Raw genomic sequence first — 15,561 nt, 5'->3', positions numbered from 1 at the left:
AGAGACATGGATGAAGCTGGAAACCATCATTCTCAGCAAACTAACACAGGAACAGAAAACCAAACACCACATGTTCTCACTCATAAGTGGGAGTTGAACAATGAGAACACATGGACACAGGGAGGGGAACATCACACACAGGGTTCTGTCAGGGGGTGAGGTACTAGGGGAGGGATAGCATTAGGAGAAATACCTATTGTAGATGACGGGTTGATGAGTATGGCAAACCACCATGGCACGTATATACCTATGTAACAAACCTGCACGTTCTGCATGTATACCCCAGAACTTAAAATACAAAAAAAAAAAAAATTAAAAATTAAATAAATAAATAAACGTGTTATCTTTAGTATTAGCAAAAAATTACTTAAAATTTATTGTGACTCATTGATATCCCTGTGTACATATGTATACAGACCATATGTTTTATAATCGACTACTCATTCCTCTGGGCATACATATTTTTCTTTATTATTTATCTTGACTTTTCATTATTTTCTAGCTCCACAGGACAAAGAGGAAAGGAGAGAAAACAAATTGGCATCAGTCAATATTATTACCTCCCAGTGGCTACTGTCAGAGTTGAGAAGTAGAAAACGAAACCTAGCAAAAAATCTGAAAGATTTAACGTGCATGTACATTTCATTTATTCATGTTTTTACTCTCTTTACCAACAATAACTGAAAATAAACTGATAACAAACACTTAATGGCAGTTGTCAGAGTTCATTTTTCTTATTTAAGTCCTAGAGTCTACCAGTCGAAAACCTAAAAAAATTAAAATACCAGTACCACAGGACTGGGGAAATTGGTATTTCAAATATACTATTCTTTTCATTTGTATTTCTTATCAAAATCACCTTGTTCCTACCTCACTTTTTGTCATCTCAGAAAACAAGACTACTAAGAAATTGCATACTAATTCTTAAGAGGGAAGTAGTACAAAGAAAGGTTGAAGAGAAGTACAAAGAAAAGGTTGCCATAGTTTGTTAAATATGTTTCTGATAAACACTAGCATCCTTAAACGACAGAGGTTTCAGGCCCTTCTTAGTTCTAGTCCTTATTTAAAAATAGTTCTCATTGACTAGACCAAACAAGTCAAAAGGGAAGGAAAAGCAGACAACTAATTACAGTTTTAGATTACTTTTTCAAAAGTAATAAATAAAAACAGACTATATTTTAGACAGCTCTAGTTTCACAACAAAATTGGCCAGATTATTTTTAATTCGCTTCTGCTGAATCCAGGATTGTTCAAAGATTAAGGTGATAGCAGTGATATCAGAGAGAAAACATTTTAAAATGTCTGTTATATAAAATTATAAAAACACATCAATTTGAAAAGGATGCATAGGAGTCAAGGGTTCATTTGCTCATTCATTCACTCAACAACAAAACATAATTTGTACTCTTACAGAACATTATGGTCTACCATAGTACTCAGACAAGACAATATAGATTCCTGGTTTAACAACTGAGTAGGATTATAGCTTTGTTAACTGAAAAGTGGAAGGTATGGGTGAGGAGATAATAAAGATCCCAACTTTAGACCATTTGAGTTTCTCAGGGGTACTTAATATCATCATTCATCAAGTAAATACAAATTAATACCAATGACATACCATACACCAGAAAGGATAACATTAAAAAATATTGTCAATGCTAAGTCGCATTGCATATGTGAAACAACTGGAACTCTCATACGCTGCTGATACAAATGTAAAGAGATTCAACCACTTCATAACACTGCTTGGCTCTATTTCCTAAAGTGAATCAATAATTCTACTATTAGCTATATGCTCCTGGAAAACGAGTGCCTATGACCACCCAAAAAATACATATGAGGATGTTCATATGAGCTTTATTCATAATAAACAAAACTAGAAAATATCCACAAGCCCATCAACAGGAGAATGGACAAATAAATTGCTGTATAGCCATATAATAGATTACTGCAATTTTAAAAAAGAATGAACTACTAATCCCATCAACAATATAGATGACTATCACAAACATGTTGAATGCAGAAAGCCAGCCATAAATTAGTTTATGATTTCATGTGAATGAAATTCAAAAACAAGGAAAAGAAAGTGACAGAGTAAGAAAAGTAGTTATGTTTGAGACAGGCTTTCTGAGTGAGAGATGTTACATATCTTCATTTGAGTAGTAATTACAAGAGGGTATTCATTTAAAAAATCATAGAATGGTACACTTAAAACGTCTGTATTTTTATACATGCATTCTAGACTTCACTTAATAAAAAACTGTTACAGAAAAAATAACGCATAATGAAAAATTAACAGAGGGTAAATATAATATGTATTTAAGCCATACAAATAGGGGGAAAAACATAAGATTATAGACTTCAACCCACATTGATCAGTGACGATATTAAACGCAACTGAACTAAAAACTCTAATTAAAACATTTCCAGATTAGATTCAAAATACACACACAAACCCATGTGTGCACACAGGTGTGTGCATTTTCTCTCTCTATTTAAATCAGAGAGGGGAAATGTTTTCTTTTATCATAAATTGGGTAAAAATAACAGATTACAAATAGTATAAAAACAAAGTGCAAGAAGAAAATACAAGTGAGTATCAATCATTATAGTTCTGGAGTACAGAAAGTCTACCCTAGTCTGAAAACAATTTGTACTTCTTGTTTTCTTGATGATGTCAAAAAAATCACCAAATTGGTTCATAAAAATGAGAATTTCTGAAACATACACATATACGAAACCTATAAGGAATATTTACACATAAATCTTTTTAAACTGGGTAAAATATTCGCAATGAATAAGATTTGAAAGTATTAATGTAAATAATGTTTTTATTCAAAACAATAAAAAGATTAACACTTAAATTTTGAAAAATGGGACTATTAAAAAGTAACACATACAGACAAATGATTAAATGTTACACTTCACATACACTAAGGGAAAGCACATTAAAATGTAAAAATAGTGTTCTTGACCAAAAAAAACCAGACTATTAATATCTGGCCTTGTAGGGAAAGAGTAATGATAATACTGCTAATAGAATGTCAACTGGTAGATATTTTCTGGAGGGCAATTTAGCAACATATATCAAACACAATAAAATGTACGTTACCTTTGGTGCACCTCAAATAATTAATCCCAGTGAAATAATTACATGAGTTAATAATTTTGATTGCAACACTACAGATAATACCCAAAATGGAGACAAAGTAAATTTCTAATAGCAGCGAATTGTTAAAATAACTGATACATTTTTATGGCAGAGTATTCTCCAGTAAACAGGTTTTGTTTACTTATGTTTACTAATATAAAAATGTTAATGATATATTGCCACCTAAAAGAATGCTGGTTTATGAGGAGTGAATGTGTGTATGTGTATGGGTATTCATAATGGCATATTCCTGAATAGACAACCACGCTGCCTGTAAACTTCTCAGTAGAATGTCTGGGCAGGCAAATGATAACTCATGCAAATTGGGCAGCCACTCATCAAATCACTTCTAACCTCTATGGAAAGTAAAAAGAAGGTAACTTGGGTTAAATATTCTTTCTTTTCCTGAGATCAAAAGTGTTTAAGTCCCAACCAAATCAGCAATGTAATAATATAATAAGAGTAACTGTCTTCGATTATGCTTATGTCTTCAATTTTGTCCCATAGCCTTACAATAAATTCATGAAGGGTTATTAAACTTTTGTTTTTAATCCATCTATCTATCCATCCACTCAGTTATCTGAAGTAACTAGAACTATTGACCTCTCTTCAGGATTTCACATTAAATGCTCCTGCTAAGGACCCAAAAAAACTCTAGCAGATCTAATTTCCAATAGACTCCAACGCTTTCATTATATCAGATGAGGAAACCAACGCCAAAAGAATCATGAAAATTAATAAATTAAATGTAGAAAACATTCAACATCAAATACTTTCCTAATTCGTTTCATCATGTAAGTAATATAACTTTCAAATCCCCAGAGTTCTATATTCTGATTTTCCCAAAAAATCACTTTTTCTTACCTAATCCATACAACTTAAATGTTGGGCCTACATTGCCATATTTCATATTAAATACAGCTTTTTACATGCATAGAAAACATTTTACTTGGAGTCTTCACACAACCTAAAACACTTGTCTCGAATGAAACATCTGCTTTGCCAGCAAATGTTTCAAATTTGAAGACATTTGTTTCAATCATCTTTGAAGAAACCAGCATTTTTCTTGATTTCAGGCCAAGTACTTTTTTTAAAAATCTAACTCTACTAAATCTTTTCAATTGGAAGCCTTATTCACTGATGGAAATCTGTATTCATAATAAAATGTCAGATGCTAATTCCTTCTTTACAAAACATATATTGCATTTTACTATTTTAACACAAAGTTTATGTATTTTCAAACTTCAAATATATATATTCTTTCACACACTGTCAGTGTTTATTTATAAAAGGACTTACCAAATATCTTAAATTAACAATGTGGAAGACCAAGAAATTACTACAATGGGAATTCAGCTTTTATTCATACAGAACTGTCCTTCTAGTGTATCCATCTAAGAATTATTATATTTATAAAAGAAAGGCAAAAAGTTTATCAACTTATGCCTTCTCAATTTTGAAAATATTATTGAAAAGTTTAGACTTTTGATGTCCATTATCCAGCTATTCCACTTTGACAAGAATAACAGGTAGTATTTATCAAGTGTGTATTTCTTGCCAGGCAGTTTTCTAAGTTGTTATTTCATATGGATGTTTCCTTTTTTACAAAAACCATACACAGTAATATCATAATTCCATTTTACATGTAAGGCAACTGAATCTCACAGAGCTAAGGTCAACTGCTAAAGGTCAGATAGATAATAACTGACAGGTTAGCCAAGTCCACTTGGCCACAAAGACCACACATAATACTGTCTCCTGAGACTGCATACCATATGATGCAATACTATACAATCAATAAAAATTAATAGTGTAAAGGAGTGAATGGTAATGATAAGAAATACTTATTAGGTACCACATGCTATTCTAAACATTTCCTAATATTAACTGATTTAACCCTTATTATACTCCTGTACTAATTTTATAGATGAGGAAACTGGTACACAGAGGAGTAGAGTAACATGCCCAAGGGCATAGCTAGTAAAAATCGTAAGGCAAGGATTCTGACTCAGACACTGTGGTTCCAGAGTCAGGCTTTTAATGACTGCATTAGAGAAAAAGACATTTAAAACTTTTGCTAAATATGACAAAATACAAATAGTATGATTGTAATTCTGTAAGAAAAGAAAAACTGTATAAACACAAGCAACACCTTGGAAAGATACAAGCCAAGAGATTAACAGTTTAACAGCAGGATTACAGGAGAAATTTTTTTGTCTTCCTCAAGTCTATCTATATTTTTTAAATTTTCTAAATATATTTCTTTTGAAATACAAAAATACAAATTTTTAATTTATTTTTAAAAATCTATGATTTCCTTCCACCACTGCCATTATTCCAGCCTTCATTACTTTTTATTCATTAACTGATCTTACGTTCAGTCTTCTTTCCTCTTTCTAAACTCCTTAGTAATATTAAATTGACCTCCCTACAGCAAAATTTACAACTTTGATTATAGTATCATCTCATCATCTAAAAAATTATATGCCTATACATATATATATATATATTTGCACATTTATTTTCTATCTCTTACACCAATATATGAGATTCTTGAGGGCACGAATTTGTCTTGTGCATGAAGAGCAGAGCAGAATTACAGTGATCAAAGAAAATGATAGTAGTGGCCAAGATTAGGGCAATGGCAGCAAAAAAGAGCTAAATATATTTTAGACAATTCTGGATATAAGTTCAACAGGGATTGGTGATTTAATAGGGGAAGAGTAAGAAGTTTGAAGGTGATACTCAGATTTTTGACTCTGGCAAATTATGTGCTCATACCATTTACTGAGATATGAGGAGATGCAGGTTTAAGAAAGTTAATAAGTCATTTGGGCAATTTTTAACTGATGCCTGTAAGAATTCATGTAAACTAGTTCAACCATTGTGGAAGTCAGTGTGGCGATTCCTCAGGGATCTAGAACTAGAAATACCATTTGACCCAGCAATCCCATTACTGGGTATATACCCTAAGGATTATAAATCATGCTGCTATAAAGACACATGCATACGTATGTTTATTACAGCACTATTCACAATAGCAAAGACTTGGAACCAACCCAAATGTCCAACAATGATAGACTGGATTAAGAAAATGTGGCACATATACACCATGGAATACTATGCAGCCATAAAAAAAGATGAGTTCATGTCCTTTGTAGGGACATGGATGAAGCTGGAAACCATCATTCTCAGCAAACTATCGCAAGGACAAAAAACCAAACACCGCATGTTCTCACTCATAAGTGGGAACTGAACAATGAGAATACATGGACACAGGAAGGGGAACATCACACATCGGGGCCTGTTGTGGGGTGGGGGTAGGGGGGAGGGATAGCATTTGGAGATTTACCTAATGTTAAATGATGAGTTACTGGGTGCAGCACACCAACATGGCACATGTATACATATGTAACTAACCTGCACGTTGTGCACATGTACCCTAAAACTTAAAGTATAATAAAAAATAATAATAAAATAAAAATAAAGTAAATTTAAAAAAAAAGAATTCCAAAGAAAATCTTCAATACATAGAAAGATGTATGGTTTTACAGTTCAAAATAGAGATTTGCTTTTTTTGCTTTTTTATGTTTTTTTTTTTTTTTTGAGACAGAATCTCGCTCTGTCACCCAGGCTGGAGTGCAGTGGCGCAATCTCTTCTCACTGCAAGCTCCGCCCCCCGGCTTCATACCATTCTCCCGCCTCAGCCTCCTGAGTAGCTGGGACTACAGGCGCCTGCCACCACGCCCAGCAATTTTTTTTGTATTTTTAGTAGAGACGGGGTTTCACCGTGTTCGCCAGGATGGTCTCAATCTCCTGACCTCGTGATATGCCCGCCTCAGCCTCCCAAAGTGCTGAGATTACAGACGTGAGTCACTGTGCCTGACCCAAAATAGAGATCTTAAAAAAATATGTCTGGAATTAATATTTGAGTCCCTACTTTATGCTGTAGATATTATAATAAATTTGAAATAATGCTGCATATTACAGTAAATTCCAAATAGGGTTGGTATTTAAAGGTAAAAATAAAACAATGCGGTATTAGATAAACCTTGGTTATAATAAAATGCAGTGGGAAAACCTTGGTTATAATAAAATGTAGTGGGAAAATCTCACTAACTATGATTCAAAATCAAGAAGCAGTAAAACAAAAACAATCGTTCTTAAGTATAAATAAATATCCATGAGTCCATACTGATATAAATAAAAGATTGGACAAACAAATAAATGGAGAAGAGACGAATTGCCTGTGTAGAAAAATTCCAAATTAATTATGTAGATATTCCACCCCCAATGAAGGCAGTGTAACTCCCTACTCCTTAAGTATGCACTGTGCTTAGTGACTTCCTCCCAAAGAGTACAGCATGGCAAAAGGAAAAAATGAGTAACTTTACAATGGAGAAATCTGTAAACACAGCCAGGTAATGGAGGTCAACATCAACAATGAAAAATCATATTGATAGTACATACCCTTGACATGACATAATGAAAATGGCACTTTACCTCTGTAGTCTTCCTCCCCGAAACCCATAACTTAAGTTAACCATGAGAAAAACATCAAGCTAACTCAATAGAGAGGCATTCTACAAAATACCTGATTGTATACATCTCAAAACCACGAAGGTCTTCAAAAACAAAGTCTGAGAAACTGTCATAGCCAAGAGGAAGCTAAAGGGACATGACAACTAAATGTAGTGTGATATCCTGGATGTGATCCTGGAACAGGAAAAGAACATTAGGTAAAAGCTAAGGAAATATGAGTAAAGAACAGACTTTAGTTAATGATTGTGTATCAGTATTAGTTCAATAATTATAACAAATACACCATACTAATGTAAGATGTTAAATAACAGCAGAAAATGAGTATAGGTTATATCATGTCTTAGTACTCTTGGGTTGCTATAACAAACTACCATAAACCAGGTGGCTTATAAGCAACAGAAATTTATTTCTTGCAGTTCTGGAGGCTGTGAAATCTAAGATCAAGGCTCCAGCAGATTTGATGTCTGGTGAAGGATTTTTTCCCGGTTCACAGATGGTGCCTTCTTGCTGCATCTTCACTTGGTATAAGAGACAAATAAGCTCTCTAGGAATTCTTAGAGGGTACTCTTCCCCTTCATGATTGCTTCACCCTCATGCCCTAATCACCTCCCAAAGGTCCCACCTCTTAATACCATCACACTGGAGGTAAGAATTGCAACATATGAATTTGTGGGGAACACAAATATTCAGACTATAGCTTAGGGAACTCTGTAGTATCTTTACAAGTTTTTTTTAATTCTTGAACTGTTCAAAAAAACAAAATCTATATTAAAAATTTTGTCTCTTTTTTTAAAAAATAAATATCAAAAAAGTTAAAATATGCTAGAGACTTTTCATCAGTTACTATCAAACCTCTTTATAAGAGTTTCGTTAAGTCTTTAAGATTCTTCATATTGAAATCAGTTGTCCCAATCACTCATTAATTTCTAGTCTCCTGAAATACCAAAGTGAAATGTGAAAGAAGAAAGGAAAACAAAAAAAAGTAGCCAACAAAAGGAGAGATATTCTTCTAAGCTCTCCATACTTTGCTCTTCTTTCCTTGAATAGTTTGCTCATAGCTCTGTATGCTATTTTCTGTCTATTCATTTTTGAGAAATACACATAGGACTGATATTAGAAAATCAGAATACAAAAACTGTTCTCAGCTCCCTCACAGGCTACTAGTACCTAACGCAATGTCTGAGACAATGAATAAACTGATTCAGTCTTTCTTTGCATCAGTCTCTTTATCTCAAAAATGAGGATTTAATATGTATTGGGTGACTGTGAGGACACAATGTAAAACAGAATGTAAGGCAGTTAGTAGAGTGCTAAAACGGTATAATAAATGGAAGCTATTAGGAACAATAACAAGGTAGAATACAGGAATGAAGTAAAGAAAATTAGCAATCTCTAAAGCAATAAAAAAGTAAAAAGTTAGTAATACTGAGCTTTAATTATCAAATTAGTAACCTGAGCTATAGCTGCTGTGATGCTTTTGAAGCTAAGTTGCCGTATTTTAAATAAAAACATATTGACTCTATTAATGAAATTTCATTCAGTAAACTAATCAACCCTAGAATAATACAAGCTACCAGAAAATAGGAAAAAGGGAACTGATCTATTTATCCTGTCTTTATAGATCAGCTCCAGTTCATTTAAATGGACTTTATGCTAAAATTGTGCTAAAATTTGTGAAGCCATATTTTGTCTTGTTTTGAAAGAAAAAAAAATCACATATTCCTGAATCAGAAATATTAATTTGTCTGATTATGGTAGAAGTAAAATTAAGAAAACATGGCCAGGTAAAGTGGCTAACACCTGTAATCCCAACACTTCGGAAGGCTGAGACAGGAGAACTGCTTGAGCCCAAAAGTTTGAGGCCAGCCTAGGCAACATAGTAGAACCCCATCTCTTCAAAAAAAAAATTTTTCAAGACATTTAGCTGGGCATGGTGGCATGTGCCTGTAGTCCCAGCTACTGAAGAGGCTGAAGCAGGAGGATCACCTGAGCCCAGGAGATTGAGGTTGTGGTGAGCTACAGTTTTGTCACTGTACTCCAGTCTGGGTGATAGAGGAATACCCTGTCCCTAAAAAAAGAAAAAAAAAAGAGAGAGAGAGAGAGAGGCGGCGGGCAGGGGAAACAAAGATTTGAAAATTTTTAAAAATATATAAATACTCAAATTATGAAAGTATCAAAGAAGTAAACATTCAAGAATATGAGGTTTTCTGTTAGGAACCCAATAACATCACTATATTTAGCATTGCTCAAATGATGCTAGTTTGCTAATGATAAAAATGTGTTAAAACGAAATGTCACCTAAAATGTTTAGAAAACTGTTCATTCTCATTACTGAAAACTGAGATTAAAATAAAGTCAGAATTACCTACAATTAAGACAAATTGTTTTATCTCACTTTCCAGTTACGTTTTTAAAAAATTACATTAAGAACATTTGGCAAACCTTTTCATATACATCCTCTCTTATGAGCCTCAATACAACCTAATATGATGGGTAATATTGCCTCTATCATGGAAATAAGAAACAAAGGCTTTAAAAAGCCAGGCCACTTACCTAGTGCTGCACTACAAGTCACAAAGAGTTAAGACTGATCTGAGGTCACTTGATCTCAAGTTTAGTGTTCTCCGCATGACACTTCAACTACCATGCATTATTTATCTTTCTCTCATTTTAAAATTAATATTCACTCCCAAAACTCCACTTAAGCTTAAAGAAATATAAAAAGGTATAAATTCCCAAGAACAAAGATGAGAGATGTCAACAAGTGCTCAAAGATGGAACAGAACATAAGTGGAAACCTAATAGTCCAAGGGAGCTGAAGTAGTGGCCAGCTTCTCCAGAAGACAGAAGAGATGGGATAGAAAAAGCAGTAATGGTTGGAATTCTGCATAAGGATTAGTTTTCTCAGAGGTGTTCGAACCACAGCGACTCCATCTTGAATAGGGGCTGGGTACAATAAGGCTGAAACACAGGAGGTTAGGCATTGTAAGTCACAGGATGAGACAGGAGGTCAGCACAAGATACAGGTCACAAAGACATTGCTGATAAAACAGGTTGCAATAAAGAAGCTGGCCAAAACCGACCAAAACCAAGATAGCGATGAAAATGACCTCTGGTCCTCCTCACTGCTCATTATACACAATTTATAATGCATTTGAATGCTAAAAGACACTCTCACTAGGGCCATGACAGTTTACAAATGCCATGGCAATGTCAGGAAGTTACCCTATATGGTTTAAAAAGGAGATGAACCCTCAGCTCTGGGAATTGCCCACCTCTTTCCCAGAAAACTCATGCATAATACACCCCTAGTTTAGCGTATACTCAAGAAATAATTATAAGTATTATCAATCAAGCAGCCCAAGCTGTTGCTCTGCCTATGGAGTAGCCATTCTTTTATTCCTTTACTTTCTTAATAAACTTGCTTTCACTTTATGGACTCACCCCAAATTGTTTTTACACAAGGTCCAAGAACCCTCTCTTGGGGTCTGGATTGAGATCCCTTTCCGCTAACAGCTTCACCCACAACCCCTTCCTCTCCTCATGCTTCCTAAGAGACAAGAAATTCATTATCTGGAGAAACCAACCAGGAAAACCTAGGTGCTAGGTTACCAGGCACAGCAGAGGTCAGAGAAAATGAAATGAAAGCAATTAAGTCCAAGTCCCCATCCTGTGCTCTGGGATCACAGCTCCGTGACTTGGTTCTGAGCAACCTATTGCTATCTTCTGGTGAGAGATTAGAGAATTCTCTGGAAAATCTGATCAGCAGAAGAGAAAAGACCTACAGTCACTAAAATTTAGAATCTCCCAAACAAAGCAACCAGCTGTCAGCCTAGTCACTCAGTACAGAAGCCCAACAGGAACCACATCCTACCCCCCACACCAGAGCATACTTACTCAACCACCCACTCAACCAGGGTTATCAGAGTAGAAGAAAATCATTAGTAAATAAGCAAATACAAATTTTGCTTGTGTTCAGGCTTTAGGAAAAATTTTCAAAATCACTTTATTTAAAATAACAACACTCTGCTGCAAAAGTAAGAGAATAGAATTATTCTTATCTAGTAGGAGTTTGCATTAGGTTTTGAAAACCAAGTGTTTTGTGAAAGAAAGGCTTATATTAACTTTGAATTATTTATATTATTCACATAGCCATAGATTTATGATTAACGTAGTTATCTAAATAAGGTTTCACAACTCTGGTAAATAGCTCAAGAAACGGGAGTGTTTACTATGTGTTTCTTATGTTAAAAACAAGTTTTAATGTTAAAAAATAGTGTTCATCATTCAAAAAAATGACTAAGGAATTTCAAAAACAAAACAGAAATCACCTCCTGTGATTCCACAGCCAGTAATTCTGGTACATCATCTTTCAGATCTATAGATCCAGATCAACATTTTAATGCTTGTTTTCTTCTATATCAACTTGCTTTTAATTTCTAATATAATTTTAAAAATATTATAGAAATATGAAAGCAGTAAAAATCTTCAAATCATAATATCAGTTTTAAATCTAAAGCTTTCAAATATTTGAACAACCAAGATAAAAAATATCTGGAGAATCTTTACTATGTGAAGTTGTCAAAGTACTTATAACAGCCACGGCTCCTGAATTTGTTTGTCCACTAATAACCCTATCTAGTTTTTTGAATACAGAATTCATATTTCTCTGTCAAATCTATTCCCCTCTCACAATAGTAATGATGATTGCTTTATTTAAACTCTCACCACCATTTGCCTACATTATTAAACATACATTTTAATCAGTTTTCTCTACCAGTCTCTCTCCATTTTGGTCTAACCTCCACTTTACCTTGTGAAACTTCATCTTAGCATCTTATGGGCATGTCTCTCTTCTATTTCAAAACCTTTAGTGATTCCCTGTTGCCTACAGGTTAAAGTCCAAATTCCTACTGTGGCCCAAAGGTCATTCTAATCTGGTCCTGACCTGCCTCCAGTCACTTGCTTCCATCTTCTGTCTTACGCTCTGGCTTCCCTGAATTGCCCTCTGTTTTCAGTGTCAGCATTTTCCCACCGGCTGTTTCATCTGTTGCAATGTCTTCTCCATGTAAATTTTTAAATGGTGTGATAAATACCATTTTTTGGTGTGGAATGCACTAACATTCCACAAATATGTTCTATATTATATAATTCAGGTACATGAGAATATGGGTAATATTTGTACTACAGTTTGTGTTTTTCTGTATTTTAAAATTTCTCCTTAACAAAAAGCATCACAGGGCTTGTTGTGGCATGGGGGGAGGGGGAGGGATAGCATTAGGAGATATATCTAATGTTAAATGATGAGTTAATGGGTGCAGCACACCAACGTGGCACATGTATACATATGTCACTAACCTGCATGTTGTGCACATGTACCCTAAAACTTAAAGTATAATTAAAAAAAAAAAGCATCATTTAAACTACTGATTGTTTGCTCTAAAAGAACAAGAATGAATGCAAGATTATGTTCATTACTTACCCTACTCAATATGATCTATTTAAGAAAGATTTCTGATCTTTATAGGTTTTTTTTTTTATTTCTCAATTACAGCAGTAATTGCTTACTTGCTAATGAAATTAGTTTACATATGCTTGTCTATCATTCTACACTGGACTGTGAGTTTCCTCAAGGATGAGGATGAGGGTGACATTGTCTTATTTTTTCTAAAAGAAAAACATCCATGCCTGAATATAGAAGTGTTCAATAAATATGGGCAAAGACAAAGAGGGCTTAATACAGGATGGGAGGGAAGAAAACCAGAGGAAGAGAAAGAAAAAGAAAGTAAAAAACTGATGTCAGTATAGGAATCTTTCCCTAAATGTATATAAAAATAATGAATTACAGGTTTTAAATAATCTTCATTTCGATCTTCTAATTTTAATTCTAAAAAAAATGGACTGGTGCATTCCTGTCTTTTAGAATATAAAAAGGTTTTATAAAATCAATGCAATTTTTGTCCACCACTTCAAAGGCTAAATATTAAACCAAGGAAAGAACCTCAATAAAAAAGTTAACTTATGTTGGATAAAAGAAAATCTAAGCAGATGATAAAGTTGATAAGGTGTTGAAATAACATCTGAGAAAGATTATAGGATTTTGTCATTACAGTATAAATTTATATATTTTTTCGTATCTAGTATATTGATACTAGATATGAATCTAGTATATACAGGTGAATCTCGTACTGTGGGATTCTGTGATAGGAAATGCTACTCCATCTCATCTTATGTAAGCCCCAGTGACTAGATGATCCATTAGGCTCTCATTCCTTAGCATCAAATGACTTATACTTACATAATTAGATGTTCCCAACTGGAATACTGAATCCTGGAGGGCTGCTAAGACTCAGGGACAGTTAAAAAATTATCTGCATAGAGAAAAAAGTACTACGGTGGTAACAGTGTTGAGAATTCAGCAGCAACAAGATTGAGAATCCAGCAGAGCTGAACCAGTGACAGATTCGCAAGGTGGACTATTTGGTGGCACGACCCTGGTTGTGTTTGCCACTGCTGAGCTTTCCTTGATTTCTGCTCATTTTCAGATCTGGTTCTCCCATGTTCTTGCTGATTCTGAGAGCTGCCCAACCTACTTCAATAAATTCCTTTTCTGCATAAGACAGCCAGAGTCAGTTTCTTGGTTACAGACAAGACTTCCAACTCATAGTCACCCAAAATATACCCATCCTAACTCCCGCTGTAATAATTAGCCACATTCATTTGTTTAAATAAGCAAAGATCACTCAAAGTTCCTGAAAGCTCCATTATTTAATGACTGTGTCTATCAATACCAAACTTCCTAATTCAGAAGGACAAACAAAAGAACAAAAGAATAACAAATACAATCAAAAGGTTAGGTCAGAAGTGCCGGATATAGAAAGAATAGATGAAATATGCATTTTCATTTTCAGTATTTTTATTTATTTTTTTGAGATGGAGTCTCACTCTGTCACACAGGCTGGAGTGCACTGGCACGATCTTGACTCAATGCAGCTTCCACCTCCCAGGTTCAAGTGATTCTCCTGCCACAGGCTCCGGAGTAGCTGGGACTACAGGCATTCACTACCATGCCTGGCTAATTTTTGCCTTTTTGGTAGAGACAGTTTTCACCATGTTGGCCGGGCTGGTCTTGAACTCCTGACCTCAGGTGATCTGCCCACCTTGGCCTCCCAAAGTGCTGAGGTTACAGGCATGAGCCACTATGCCTGGCCAGTTTCAGCATTTTTTCATTGTGAAGTCCCAGCCTAAGATTCCAGAACCACTTAAAAGTAATTTAATAAAACATCACAAATGAATCCTGAACCAGAACGTAAGTTCTCTAGAATTCAGAATTTAAACTACACATTATGGCTCATAATATCAAAAATGAGGATGATAACCAAGAAGAAAGCTACAAAGACATAAAACAGGCTAGGAAATTTGTATTCTGTACCTCACTCTACTTTTACCATGACATTTCTTGTGTACCTACATTGCTTTCCAGACTAACCAAATGAAACCATAAATTCACATTATCTTTGAAAACACAGAAACTAATCCTACATCATATCCAGGCACTAATAGCAGAGAATTAGATAATCAGCATAAAGATTAGTGTTTGCACAAGGAGGGAAAAGAGAAAATGCAGATTAGTTAAGTATACCACCAGACTCAGAAAACATTGAGTTTACAATACAATCTCTATCAAAATTCCAGTGTCATTTTTTCCCAGAAATGAAAAATGCAATCCTTAAATTCATATGTAACCACAAAAGACCCTGAAAAGCCAAAGCAATCTTCAGCAAAAATAACAAAGTTGGAAGAATCACATTCCCAGATTTCAAAATATATTTGAAAGCCATTATAATCAGAACAGTATGGTACTGGCA

General features: G+C 34.4%; 1 protein-coding gene across 9 annotated transcripts in view, besides 1 other annotated feature; it reads right to left on the bottom strand.

The window, feature by feature from the left end:
* Nucleotides 1-15,561, bottom strand: part of METTL15 (methyltransferase 15, mitochondrial 12S rRNA N4-cytidine) — a 424,088-nt gene that overhangs the window by 350,904 nt on the left and 57,623 nt on the right. The window lies entirely within an intron of this gene.
* Nucleotides 11,453-11,653: a silencer, noted in NCBI's record as "peak1236 fragment used in MPRA reporter construct". NCBI's record gives its function as "represses an SCP1 promoter by STARR-seq MPRAs in K562 erythroleukemia cells {active_cell/tissue: K562}" and the evidence as "EXISTENCE:reporter gene assay evidence [ECO:0000049][PMID:32103011]".

This window comes from Homo sapiens, chromosome 11, assembly GCF_000001405.40.
Source record: "Homo sapiens chromosome 11, GRCh38.p14 Primary Assembly".
NCBI classification, from domain to species: domain Eukaryota; kingdom Metazoa; phylum Chordata; class Mammalia; order Primates; family Hominidae; genus Homo; species Homo sapiens.
Note: the sequence above shows the minus strand (reverse complement) of the source record. Positions and strands in the feature narration are given on the sequence as shown.